The 14,390-nt window shown below is 44.5% G+C and overlaps 3 annotated features.

Annotated features, from left to right (window-relative positions):
* Window positions 6,889–7,650: an enhancer, noted in NCBI's record as "OCT4-NANOG-H3K27ac hESC enhancer chr5:107889945-107890706 (GRCh37/hg19 assembly coordinates)". NCBI's record gives its function as "activates a minimal SCP1, AML or CMV promoter by ChIP-STARR-seq in naive and primed H9 embryonic stem cells {active_cell/tissue: H9 hESC(naive and primed)}" and the evidence as "EXISTENCE:reporter gene assay evidence [ECO:0000049][PMID:30033119]".
* Window positions 7,651–8,411: an enhancer, noted in NCBI's record as "NANOG-H3K27ac hESC enhancer chr5:107890707-107891467 (GRCh37/hg19 assembly coordinates)". NCBI's record gives its function as "activates a minimal SCP1, AML or CMV promoter by ChIP-STARR-seq in primed H9 embryonic stem cells {active_cell/tissue: H9 hESC(primed)}" and the evidence as "EXISTENCE:reporter gene assay evidence [ECO:0000049][PMID:30033119]".
* Window positions 12,098–12,725: an enhancer, noted in NCBI's record as "H3K27ac hESC enhancer chr5:107895154-107895781 (GRCh37/hg19 assembly coordinates)". NCBI's record gives its function as "activates a minimal SCP1, AML or CMV promoter by ChIP-STARR-seq in primed H9 embryonic stem cells {active_cell/tissue: H9 hESC(primed)}" and the evidence as "EXISTENCE:reporter gene assay evidence [ECO:0000049][PMID:30033119]".

Below are 14,390 nucleotides of genomic sequence, written 5' to 3' on the forward strand. Positions count from 1 at the left end.
TCTTTTAAAAACGTATCTGACCATATCAGCAGGGTTGTTCCCTTCCAATATCCTCAGCCTCATTTCACACCAAAATTATCCACTGTATCAGTCAGCAAGAATTGGATGGAACAATCAAGTTAGATAATTTGAAGGGAGTTTAATAAAGAGGTGGGCAGTGTCAATGGCATGTGGAGCTAGTAGCAAGGAGGTACGGGGACCATTCAAAACCTGAAGGGGCAAGAGTTACCATAACCAGGAGATGGTAACTGTATGGAAATATTGCCTGGCAGGAGCCATGACCTTGGGTAGGGAAACACAGATAACCCATGATGACCTGTCAGGGAGCATGCTGTGGAAATAAGTACTCATACGCATTCATCTCATGTGCAACTCATTCTCCTTCTACCCATCCTAGTGCCTGTCATTGACTGAACTCAACTGTAAGTCAGGGGCAAGAGACTACCGTGGAAATGCATGAGCCTCCAGGAGCTGAAGCAGGAAGAGGCTAGAACATGGGGGAGGAGCAGTCAGAAGCTAGCTAGGATACCTACTAAGTCAGGGTGAAATTTCAAATATAAAAAGAGAATAAATGCAAAATAAAAATATCTGAGCAGTCATGACCACAAAATATGAACCTCAGATGAAATAATATCTACTTGATCTTCAGTGTGTAGTTCTAGAACAGAACTTCCCAAATTTTCAGAGTTCCATTTTTCCACTGGTCATAACTAATGGGTATACTTGCTTGTATGGTCATACCAAAACCTTTTTTTACCAAACAATGGGTGCCCCCTCACATCTGGGTTAGTCAGTCCAACTCAGAATGTTCTTTCTAACTAAACTTGTCTTAACCAGTTTGAAGATTGTCCCCGCACAACCTTCCTCCCCTTTTCTTTACTACACTGCTATGAAAGAATTCCCTTCATTTTTATTCTAATGCCTATGAAAGAATTCCTTTCATTTTTGTTCTAATAAAGGAAAACTCTGTTACTTTTTTTCTTAAACTATTAGACATGTATTGTTTTTCTCTATTTAATAACTGTAAAATGTATCTATGAAAACAAAAATTATTATATAAACACATTAACACTGAAACAAAGTGAGTTGTTTAGATTAAATTGACATACCCCTAATAAAATCTAGCAGATGTTTTATAAATATCTGTCAGCTATTTAAATTGTGAGATTCTTATGGGAAATTACTATTTGTGCTGACTACAATACATATTTAGAATACTTAGGAAACTTTCAAGACTTTCACTTCCAGAAATTTGGCAGGTTTCTTATCCTGAAAAACTCCCCTGCTACCCCTAGAAAAACTGCATATGGTAGAATAAACATCTTTTAAAATGCATAGATGAGGCCAGGTGCGGTGGCTCATGCCTGTAATCCCAGCTATTGTGAAGGATGCAAGTCAGAGATAACCAAGTCCGTGCACATTTGTGTCTTTCCACAATGTCAGACTTTTATTAATGCTATTTCAATTACAAAAGCCAAGAGCTCCATGGAGTGCCCAAGGAGGCAGTTCTCCTTAGTACTTCCTGTTCACTCGGTAGTCAGAGCCACAGGCACACGGGCTCAAGTCACTCCACAAGTCAGTCAATTTTGCAAACCATACATAACAGTATACTTATTCAATGTATAAATATTATAGACTAAATGTTCCACAACAAACATTTAACATTAAGAGAAAGGGGATAGGAAAAAGGATTAGTGAACCAGTCGAGCATGAGTGATGAGACAAAAAGAATATCCTGGTCTGGCCCAGGTGATCTGTTGTTCTTGCAGAGAGGAGTCTTTGTTGTGGGCAGAGCCTTCGGCGGCATATGCCAGGTGCTTATCACAAGTGACAGCAATGATGGGTGTTAGGAGATGCAGAAGTCCTGCTCTTTTTATGGCCACAGAATCCTCTGGTGAGGACTGATAGTGGAAGAGTGTGCTTGGTTACGTTGTTACCTGGCTGGATGCAGTCTTTATTGATCACGCAAAACATCTGCTCCCTGTTGGCAAAGTGCCTTTTGAAATGTAAGATGGAGTATTTTTCTAAGATGGAGTTACTTATGTCAAGGGCGCTCTATACACTAGCACTTTGGGAGTCTGAGGTAGGAGGCCAGCCTGGGAAACATATGGAGACCCTGTCTCTACAAAAAACAAAAAAGTTAGCTAGCTGTGGTGATGTGTGCCTGTAGTCCCAGCTACTCCAGAGCTGAGGTGGAAGGATAGCTTGAGCCTGGGAGTTGAAGGCTGCAGTGAGTCATGATTGCACCTCACACTTCAGCCTGGGAAACAAAGTGAGACCCTGTCTCAAAAAAAAAAAAAAAAAAAAAAAAAAAAAGGCATAGATGATTTCACAATAAAATAGGGAAATCCATAAGTGTCAAAAATGAAGAGAGGAGAAAAATCTGTGTGGTGGTGATACCCATAGTGTGCTCTGAAGGAATCTGAAGAATGAAGAGACTAGGATAGTGGTGTAATGGGGCTGTGGGATGGTGGGGAGTGAGTGGAAGGTGGTGGGAGCAGACCTGAGACCAGGTAATGGTGCAGTGGCACTCACCAGGTGGGGAGATGGAACTGTTGCCCCTACGGGAAGCCCAGAACCTCAAAAGTCACAATTTCACCTCTTCGTTTCAGAACAGAATGCAATATGAAGTTTAAAAAATATAAACTAATATTAGATATTTTGGGGGGATGGAAAATATATATGTCTATGTGGGGAGGACCTGAATGCAGTGGAGGAAGGGAATACATAGGGTGCAGTGTTTAATTTCTTAAGTTTTGTCCAACTTGGGTTTTTTGTATTACTTTTTGTATTTGCAAGATGTCTTAGGATGAAAAACTGTAAAGAAAAAATGAAGTTACAAAACACCATATACAGTATGTCTGCATATGCGTGTGCACATGTATGTGTATAGAATTTCTGAAAGATGTGCACTTAAATATAACTAGAGCAGATTACAGAAGAACTTACACAGTAAGATAACACATACAATTTAGAGCATGCAACACAACACTATTGGTGCTTAAAGATACATATACATATAATAAAACTATAAAGAAATATATGAGATTGATAAACACCAAATTAAGTCTAGTCATTATATTTCAGGGGCAGGATGGAAAAGGCACCCAGGGAGGGCCACACTAGGTGAATTGAACATTGTTGGCAATATATTAGCTCTTAAGCCAGGTGGTAGTACATGGATATTAGTTATGTTATTCTTCATTCTTTTTTCTTAAATGTTATAAAATATACTTAATACTTTTTAAATAAAATATTTTCTGATACTCCTCTGAACCATACTTGGACATGCCTGAGGCCTTGAAGAGATGCTGGTAGTCTGATACCTCTAGAGAGTGACCACCTCTGCCCAGAATTGCATCTTATTTTTTTCTAATGCAACAATTTATTTTATCAGCAATATTTATTGAGTCTACTATGTCCCAGGCCCTGTTCTAGGCACTGAGAACACAGCAGTGATGAAAACAAACAGAAATATATTCTAGTGCATTTTAGGTTTAGATAATATCAAGAAAGACGACTCTGCAGGAAAGAAATTGCCGAGATTTTCTCTTTTTTGCTGTTAGTGGATTTGGTGGATGGGTTGGTAGAGGGTGCCAAAAGGCCTTTTAGGACTAATCTCTGAGAATGTTGCACGCCCTCAAATAAACTTAGAAATCATGGTCAGATTCTGTTATTAGCACCTGATAAAGTACACCTATGATTACCACCTCACACGCTGTCTGGATAGGCTTATCAGCTAGGTCTGGAGGAAAATTGGATTGGAATTAAACTGAATATTATAATGGTATTTCTCGTATATGTGCTGTCCTGATGAGATATTCTTGATATTATTGTGGTTTAGATCAACCATCCTAAAAAACAGGAATCTGCTCCCCACCTGTGAAGCCACCTTCATCACCCACCCTTCATTCCCAAGTATTGATTATGGTTTTGTTGTATATCTTATTGCTGGGCAATTGCAACCATTCTTTCAAAGTAGGAAGGGAGTAGATAGTCATACCTTCTTTGAAGTACAAAAGTCAGTCTACATGCTTGTCCTGTCATGTATTGTCATTTAACAAACCACCCAAAATGTAATGTCTTAAAACAATAGTCAATTCATTAAGTTCAAAGTCTATAGGTTAGAATTTTGGCCAGGGCTTAGCTTGCCAATTCTTCTGCTTCATGGCATTGACTGGGGCCACTCAATCAATGAATACAATGTTCAAGTTATCTTCAGCTGGTGGCTGTTCGGATTTGTGGTGGTCCAAGAAGCATTCTTTAATGTGTCTAGCAGCTTAGTTGGGTTGGCTGATGCCTAGGCTCAGCCAGGGCCTTCTTCCTCTCCTGTGGTTTCAGGGCTTCTCCACATGGCTTCTTTGCAAGATAGCTGAACTTCTTCCATGTGGCTCAGGGCTCTAAGAGAGTGTGTTTCCAGAGGCTAAAAATAGAAGCAACTGTCCGGTAACTCTCACAGTGGAAGGTAAGCCCGTCCCCTTCTTAATCAATAAGGAGGCTACCCACTCCACATTACCTTCTTTTCAAGGGCCTGTTTCCCTTGCCTCCATAACTGTTGTGGGTATTGATGGCCAGGCTTCTAAACCTCTTAAAACTCCCCAACTCTGGTGCCAACTTAGACAATACTCTTTTAAGCACTCCTTTTTAGTTATCCCCACCCGCCCAGTTCCCTTATTAGGCTGAGACACTTTTAACTAAATTATCTGCTTCCCTGACTATTCCCGGACTACAGCTATATCTCATTGCCACCCTTCTTCCCAATCCAAAGCCTCCTTTGCGTTCTCCTCTTGTATCCCCCCACCTTAACCCACAAGTATAAGATACCTCTACTCCCTCCTTGGCGACCTATCATGCACCCCTTACCATCTCATTAAAACCTAATCACCCTTACCCCATTCAACGCCAATATCCCATCCCACAGCACGCTTTAAAAAGATTAAAGCCTGTTATCACTCGCCTGCTACAGCATGGCCTTTTAAACCCTATAAACTCTCCTTACAATTCCCCCACTTTACCTGTCCTAAAACCAGACAAGCCTTACAAGTTAGTTCAGGATCTGCACCTTATCAACCAAATTGTTTTGCCTATACACCCCGTGGTGCCCAACCCGTACACTCTTTTGTCCTCAATACCTTCCTCCACAACCCACTATTCCGTGCTTGACCTTAAAGATGCTTTTTTCACTATTCCCCTGCACCCCTCGTCCCAGCCTCTCTTTGCTTTCACTTAGACTGACCCTGACACCCATTTAGGCGCAGCAAATTACCAAGGCTGTACTGCTGCAAAGCTTCACAGACAGCCCCCATTACTTCAATCAAGCCCAAATTTCTTCCTCATCTGTTACCTATCTTGGCATAATTCCCATAAAAACACATGTGCTCTCCCTGCCAATCGTGTCTGACTGATCTCTCAAACCCCAGCACCTTCTACAAAACAACAACTCCTTTCCTTCTTAGGCATGGTTAGCGTGGTCAGAATTCTTACATAAGAGCCAGGACCACACCCTGTAGCCTTTCTGTCCAAACAACTTGACCTTACTGTTTTAGCCTAGCCCTCATGTCTGCGTGCAGCGGCTGCCGCAGCTTTAATACTTTTAGAGGCCCTCAAAATCACAAACTATGCTGAACTCACTCTCTACAGTTCTCATAACTTCCAAAATCTATTTTCTTCCTCATACCTGACGCATATACTTTCTGCTTCCTGGCTCCTTCAGCTATACTCACTCTTTGTTGAGTCTCCCACAATTACCATTGTTCCTGGCCCGGACTTCAATCCGGCCTCCCACATTATTCCTGATACCACACCTGACCCCCATGACTGTATCTCTCTGATCCACCTGACATTCACCCCATTTCCCCAAATTTCCTTCTTTCCTGTTCCTCACCCTGATCACTCTTGATTTATTGATGGCGGTTCCACCAGGCCTAATCGCCACACACCAGCAAAGGCAGGTTATACTATAGTACAAGCCACTAGCCTGCCTCTTAGAACCTCTCATTTCCTTTCCATCGTGGAAATCTATCCTCAAGGAAATAACTTCTCAGTGTTCCATCTGCTATTCTACTACTCCTCAGGGATTATTCAGGCCTCCTCCCTTCCCTACACATCAAGCTTGAGGATTTGCCCCACCCAGGACTGGCAAATTAGCTTTACTCAATATGCCCTGAGTCAGATAACTAAAATACCTCTTAGACTAGGTAGATACTTTCACTGGATAGGTAGATACTTTCACTGGTTAGGTAGAGGCCTTTCCTACAGGGTCTGAGAAGGCCACCGCAGTCATTTCTTCCGTTCTGTCAGACATAATTCCTAAGTTAAGCCTTGCCAACTCAATACAGTCTGATAACAGATGAGCCTTTATTAGTCAAATCAGCCAAGCAGTTTTTCAGGCTCTTAGTATTCAGTGAAACCTTTATATCCCTTACGGTCCTCCATCTTCAAGAAAAGTAGAATGGACTAAAGGTCTTTTAAAAACACACCTCACCAAGCTCAGCCACCAACTTAAAAAGGACTGGACAATACTTTTACCACTTTCCCTTCTCAGAATTCAGGCCGGTCCTCAGAATGCTACAGGGTACAGCCCATTTAAGCTCCTGTATAGACACTTCTCATTCCAGACACTAGACCAAGTTAGACTGTGCCCCAAAAAACTTGTCATACCTACTATCTTCTGTCTAGTCATACTCCTATTCGTTCTCAACTATTCATACTTGCCCTGCTCTTGTTTACACTGCCGGTTCACACTGTTTTTCCAAGCCATCAAAGCTGATATCTCCTGGTGCTATCCCCAAACTGCCAGTCTTAACTCTTGAAGTAAATAAATAATCTTTGCGGGCAGGACTGCTGAATCTCCTTAGGCACTCTCTAATCAGATATCCTGAGTCGTCCCAATTCTTAGACCTTTTATACTTGTTTTTCTCCTTCTGTTATTCCATTTAGTTTCTCAATTCATCCAAAACCATATCCAGGCCATCACCAATCATTCTATACGACAAATGTTTCTTCTAACATCCCCACAATATCACCCCTTACCACAAGACCTCCCTTCAGCTTAATCTCTCCCACTCTAGGTTCCCACGCCGCCCCTAATCCCGCTTGAAGCAGCCCTGAGAAACATCGCCCATTCTCTCTCCATACCACCCCCCAAAAATTTTTGCCACCCCAACACTTCAACACTATTTTATTTTTCTTATTAATATAAGAAGGCAGGAATGTCAGGCCTCTGAGCCCAAGCCAAGCCATCGCATCCCCTGTGACTTGCACGTATACACCCAGATGGCCTGAAGTGACTGAAGAATCACAAAAGAAGTGAATATGCCCTGCCCCACCTTAACTGATGACATTCCACCACAAAAGAAGTGTAAATGGCCGGTCCTTGCCTTAACTGATGACATTACCTTGTGAAAGTCCTTTTCCTGGCTCATCCTGGCTCAAAAAGCACCCCCACTGAGCACCTTGCAACCCCCACTCCTGCCCGCCAGAGAAAAAACCCCCTTTGACTGTAATTTTCCTTTACCTACCCAAATCCTATAAAGTGGCCCCACCCTTATCTCCCTTCGCTGACTCTCTTTTCGGACTCAGCCCGCCTGCACCCAGGTGAAATAAACAGCCATGTTGCTCACACAAAGCCTGTTTAGTGGTCTCTTCACACGGACGCGCATGAAAGCAACTAGTGTCGTAAGTCCTAGACTCAGGTCTGGAACAGTGTTATTCTCAGTGTATTCCATCAGCCAAAGCATTCGCAGACCCAGATTCAAGTGGATAAATATTCTCAGAAATATACTGGAGAAGAGAGCTAGTGAGTTTGTGGTGTTCTTAATCTATCATATCATCCCTTCCCACTGTTTGCTAGTGAACTTAGATATCATTGGTATTCCTGGTCAGACATGGGCTAAGTCCACTCTCATAAGCAGAACTCAGTCAAAGCAGAATAGGTCAGAAGGTGAGTATAATATCAAACTATCTCTTGTAGTGCCTTGAACTGGAGGAAATCCAGATAATGTAACACTGGGAGAAGGGTAGCCTAATAGCAACTCAGCAACTTGGGGCTGGAAATTAGAGCCAGAATGTTATTCCTTCACTACTGAGTGCCTACCTACTAGGTGCCAGTTATTACTAGACACAAGGGTGAGATACTTATTCTCTTAGATCCGTCAGTCTGTTGAAGATGAACAATTAATGGATGATGGATGAATGTTTAATCTATAAAATGTGTCTGATTTGGCAGAGAGTGAAAATCTAATGGTGGCTGGGAAGGATGCTCTGTGGAGTGGACATAAATCTGATTACCTGAATGGTACAAAGAAGCCAAGGTTGGAAGGAAGCACCTTCTAGGAAGAGAGTGCAGCAAGTGCAAAGTAGAAGGAACAAGATGGAAGTCAGTGTGTTTTGGAGGATCATGAATGATGAGTTGCAGGAAGTGAAAACAGAGGGAGAGAAAAGTCGTATAATATAGGACCTTGAAGGCCATAGTCAAGAATTAGGTTATCATTTGAAGAGCAAAAGTGAGCCAATGAAGGTATTTTATTAAGACAGTGGTATAACTTAATTGGTGTTATGAAAACACCTCTCTGGCTGCCAAGTGGGGAAAGGACTATGAGAGCACAGGAATGGGAGCAAGGACAGCATGGTGGTGGTGGTAGGGGATCCTGGTGAGAGATGAAGATCAAGTGCTAGTGACTGAGATGTAAACAAGTGTATGGACTAGAAACATTTAGAAGGTAATATTGTTAGGGTGTGGTGATGGATTGGAGGGGGTACAGAGGGAGAGGAAGGCCTCAAAGGAGAGTCCAAGGTTTCTGGTAACTAGGATACACTGTCATCCCACCCTGCCTCATCACCCAACCTAGGACAGAATATTTAGATCATGAGTTTTACTCAATTCATCTTGCTTTTGAGAGTAAGTCTTCTATATCCCTACTTGGCTTCTAGAAACACTACCCAGCAGTGAGCCCAGAAATGTTCAAAGACACTAAATATATTTTCAAAGTGCTTTTCAATTCACTCAGGGAAAGAAGAGGGGAAGGTCTGTTCCTAACCCTTTCACTGTCAGTATATTTAACTAAGCCAGGTAACACGGGCTCTCCCCTTGTGAGTGTCATAGTACGTCTTTGAAAAGTAGCTAACCTGATCATGAAAATAAAATTGAGAGACTCAGCCTCTGTGGGAGACTCTTGCTCTCCCAGCCTGCCACAGTAATTGTTCTGGGATATCTCACTTCCCTGCCACATGGCGCTGTTCCCTTTGATTTATTTTCTCTGATGAAGGGACATTGAGTGATCACAGCTCCAGCTTTGTGTCATCATGACCAAACTCAATCAATCATAGCTGGGCCAAACAAGCTGCTAGAAGAAAATGAGTGAGAATTATTTTCTGTGCACCTTTGCAACTCTTCAGATTATAGTTTATCATTCTCATCTGAGGGAAGGGGAGGGCAGACACCAGAATAAAACAGTAGTTTATTGTTGTGAGGAGTGACTGACAGGTATACCTTGAAGATGCAGCAGTGGAGGGAAATAAATGTGTTCCGTTAGCCAGACATTGCAATCTCTGGCAAGGAAATGCTGTGGGTTCACATTTTCAGGCCCTGCTTGGCCTCACGGTTTAGATGGTTGTTGATCTCCCTGTGTAACATTTTCCAGGCTCATGTGAGAAACGTGTACAAATAAATCTGAAGATGAGAATCAAAGCACTTAGGTATCAAAAAATCCATGATTCTTGCCTCTGACAAGTAAAATTTGCTTTCAGGTGAAATGCTTCCCTCACCCTTCACATTCAGCAATATGCTATGCTCAACTTGCAGCAAGACATTTTAGAATTATTTCTAAATCTAAGTTTCAAATATGCACAAATACATAGAAATTTGCTGTCAGTGATCTCTGTTCCATCTGCACCAGACTAAAGGTTCCAAAGACTTTAAATGTGCAAACTAAATATCTCCCACTCAGGGTCAATGCATGGGACAACTCCACACGATATTCCCTGTGAGTCCCTGTACGGGTGCCTACTGGGTAGTGGCAAGGGCTGACCTTCAAATGCCCTTAGAGTTGTAGAATGCGGCAGCCTTGTTGCTCATACCTCCATGAACCAACCTCATATCCTTATTAAATACCCCTTTCCCATCTGTGGCAAGGGTCTGTGGTACCTTTGGTAGGCCTCCAGCCATTCTCAGGCTTATCTGGCTTCAGACTTTCCCCTTCAGCCAATGGTATACATTGCTTATGACTTGGCTTTTGCTTCGGTTTCTTAATGTAGTTTGTCTTTCTGGTACTAGAACTCTACCCCAATCTCTATGTAGTCTTACATTTCCTTCTCAGGGGACTGGAATCTGTCCCCTGAACCCATCCTACTCTACCCCCACATTTGGCTAGAGTCTTGTCTAGCAAAGTATAGTTTGCCTCACTCTGCTCCAGAAACTCTTGCTGGCAAACTTTTTTTAAAATTTTCCTGAGACAGGTTCTTGCTTTGTCACCAGGCTGAAGTAGATGTTGCAATCATGGCTCACAGCATTCTAAAACTCCTGGACTCAAGTGATCTACCCACATCGGCCTCCTGAGTAGCTGGAACTATAGGCACGTGCCTCTGCACCTGGCTGATGTTTTAATTTTTTTTTTTGCAGAGACAGAGCCTCACTATGTTGCCCAGTCTGGTCTTGAACTCCTGGTCTCAAGTGATCCTCTATCTTGGTCTCCCAAAATACCAGGATTCCAGGCATAAGCCACTGCACCCAGCCATTGCTGACAAACTTCACCTGTCAGAGTCAATTCAGATTAAGCCCATGCTCAGCCTCCTAAAACGCTGTGACTTGTCCTGCTGCGATTTGATACTCAGCATTGATCCTACCATTTTGGGCTTATTCCCTTCTTCATGCAGGGTCACTTTTGAGGGTCTAGTGGGCAACACAAAAGACAACACTTTCCCATTATAAATCCACATCAAGTGTGGGCCAGGTTTTAAATTACTTCAGTTAAGAGCCTCTGACAATAAAGTTTTTTTTTTGTTTATTTATTTATTTATTTATTTATTTATTTATTTTTTTTATTGATCATTCTTGGGTGTTTCTCACAGAGGGGGATTTGGCAGGGTCATAGGACAATAGTGGAGGGAAGGTCAGCAGATAAACAAGTGAACAAAGGTCTCTGGTTTTCCTAGGCAGAGGACCCTGCGGCCTTCCGCAGCGTTTGTGTCCCTGGGTACTTGAGATTAGGGAGTGGTGATGACTCTTAATGAGCATGCTGCCTTCAAGCGTCTGTTTAACAAAGCACATCTTGCACCGCCCTTAATCCATTTAACCCTGAGTGGACACAGCACATGTTTCAGAGAGCACAGGGTTGGGGGTAAGGTCACAGATCAACAGGATCCCAAGGCAGAAGAATTTTTCTTAGTACAGAACAAAATGAAAAGTCTCCCATGTCTACCTCTTTCTACACAGACACGGCAACCATCCGATTTCTCAATCTTTTCCCCACCTTTCCCCCCTTTCTATTCCACAAAACTGCCATTGTCATCATGGCCCGTTCTCAATGAGCTGTTGGGTACACCTCCCAGACGGGGTGGTGGCCGGGCAGAGGGGCTCCTCACTTCCCAGTAGGGGCGGCCGGGCAGAGGCGACCCTCACCTCCCGGATGGGGTGGCTGGCCGGGCAGGGGGCTGACCCCCCCACCTCCCTCCTGGACGGGGCGGCTGGCCGGGCAGAGGGGCTCTTCACTTCCCAGTAGGGGCGGCCGGGCAGAGGCGCCCCTCACCTCTCAGACGGGGTGGCTGGCCGGGCGGGGTCTGACCCCCCCACCTCCCTCCCGGACGGGGCGGCTGGCCGGGCAGAGGGGATCCTCACTTCCCAGTAGGGGCGGCTGGGCAGAGGCGCCCCTCACCTCCCGGAGGGGGCGGCTGGCCGGGGGGGGGGGCTGATCCCCCCACCTCCCTCCTGGACGGGGCGGCTGGCCAGGCGGGGGGCTGACCCCCCCATCTCCCTCCCGGACGGGGTGGCTGCCGGGCGGAGACGCTCCTCACTTCCCAGACGGGGTGGCTGCCGGGCGGAGGGGCTCCTCACTTCTCAGACAGGGCGGTTGCCAGGCAGAGGGTCTCCTCACTTCTCAGACAGGGCGGCTGGGCAGAGACGCTCCTCACATCCCGGACGGGGCGACAGGGCAGAGGCGCTCCCCACATCTCAGACGATGGGCGGCCGGGCAGAGACGCTCCTCACTTCCTAGATGGGATGGCGGCCGGGAAGAGGCGCTCCTCACTTCCTAGATGGGATGGCGGCTGGGCAGAGATGCTCCTCACTTTCCTGACTGGGCAGCCAGGCAGAGGGGCTCCTCACATCCCAGACGATGGGTGGCCAGGCAGAGACGCTCCTCACTTCCCAGACAGGGTGGCAGCCGGGCAGAGGCTGCAATCTCGGCACTTTGGGAGGCCAAGGCAGGCTGCTGGGAGGTGGATGTTGTAGCGAGCCGAGATCATGCCACTGCACTCCAGCCTGGGCACCATTGAGCACTGAGTGAAGGAGACTCCGTCTGCAATCCCGGCACCTCGGGAGGCCGAGGCTGGCGGATCACTCGCGGTTAGGAGCTGGAGACCAGCCCGGCCAACACAGCGAAATCCCGTCTCCACCCAAAAAATACGAAAACCAGTCAGTCGTGGCGGCGCGTGCCTGCAATCGCAGGCACTCCGCAGGCTGAGGCAGGAGAATCAGGCAGGGAGGTTGCAGTGAGCCGAGATGGCAGCAGTACAGTCCAGCTTCAGCTCGGCATCAGAGGGAGACCGTGGAAAGAGGGGAGAAGGAGGGGGAGGGGGAGGGGGAGAGGGAGAGGGAGACGGAGAGGGAGAGAGTTAAGCCTGACTTTCTAAGGGTTGTCCCTGGAAGCCAGTCGACAATAAAGTTTTAAATTTAACTCATGAAACATGCCAATAAATACCACATTATTTTTTGTTACATATTAAAAACTCAAAAATATTTAGAGGATCAATTCCCAAGCATCTTTCATTAAGCCAGCTGGTGACATAAACTTTCCTGTCTTGCATTTTTATCCTCCTCTTTTCATCCAAGATCATACCATCAAACCTTTATGAATTTGGGCAAAAGAAGGAAGTTAGGTATGGGAGATGCAGGCCACAGAGTACCTTCAGGGATTATTTTCTTCATGGTGATAGGGTGAAATCTGTCCTTATCTTCCTAAAGAGACTCATAAAACTCTGGATGTAATGAGTTCTATATTGAGAAATAAACCAAAAATTGAAATTTAGAATTTTTAGTGCTGTACTCCAGTGATCTAAAGAAAATAATGAGTTGCATATTTGCAATTACTGTAATGTGACTTAGCTACACTATTGTAATCTGCACACAGATTTAAGACATAAAATCCCTGTGCTCCCTGGTGGCCTCAGGGGTGACATCACTTGTTATGAAATTGAGAGGGAGTAGTTCAAATAATGTAATGGAAAAATCCCAAATGCAAATGCAGTTGGTTATGAATCCAGGAAGATCACTGTGTTTATACCCAGAAGACTGACTACATCTCGTAGGAATCAGGAGAGTCTTTTGCTGTTACCACAAAACTGTCTGTTCACAATCCTGTTCCTCCTACTCATGGAGCCAGATTTTAGAGGTTAGGAACCAGACCTTAGTGTAAGGGCCCACAGCCACTGCTTTTTTGGCAGAATGGGAAGTAGGGAGTCTAGGAACAAGGGGTAAAACTCTACTCCTTTTCTCTAATAATCTCTCCTTACTCTCAGAATGAGAGAATTTGTGCAAGTGTCCAAGAAGTGTTCACAGTAGGCCTGTGAAATAGGCACATGTACTGGGGTCACACAGCACAGTAAAACAAGCTCTGCTCTGGCATCAAACTCCCTGGACTGGGTTTGAACCCCTGACCATTACTAGATTCATGACCCTGGGAAAGTTCTTTAATCTCCCTGAGTCTGTTTCCTCATATGCTACAGTGGGAATCAAAATATCTACCTTGCAAAAATTATTGTGAAAATTGAAGATAAATAATTATTTTAATGTTTTCCACAGGGTAGAAATTCATAACCGATAATAGTTAACTTATAATTATTACTAGTATTATCTTCTCCTTACCCTCTCCTATCACTTTCTCCTGAGAATTCCTTACAAATTCTCCAGTGACAACTAAGTACAGAGGGACATTCTATCTCTTCTTTTCTCTTTGGGTGGAACTAGGTCTTAAGAGGCAGAAATAACTTTCACAATCTCCTCCCAAACTTACCCCAAAATTCCTCAGCCTGCTGAACAACCCACAAGAGTCTCCTTGGACTCAGAACCTGAACATGCAGAAGCTGTCTTGCTTCACTCCTCTTTGTGGGGTTCTCCTCCTTATGCTCAGAGAGCCCCAGAGACTTTCTGCAACTCCACTTTACCAGTTAAGATCAGG

The sequence above is a fragment of the Homo sapiens genome, chromosome 5 (genome assembly GCF_000001405.40).
Source record: "Homo sapiens chromosome 5, GRCh38.p14 Primary Assembly".
Taxonomy (NCBI): Eukaryota; Metazoa; Chordata; class Mammalia; order Primates; family Hominidae; genus Homo; species Homo sapiens.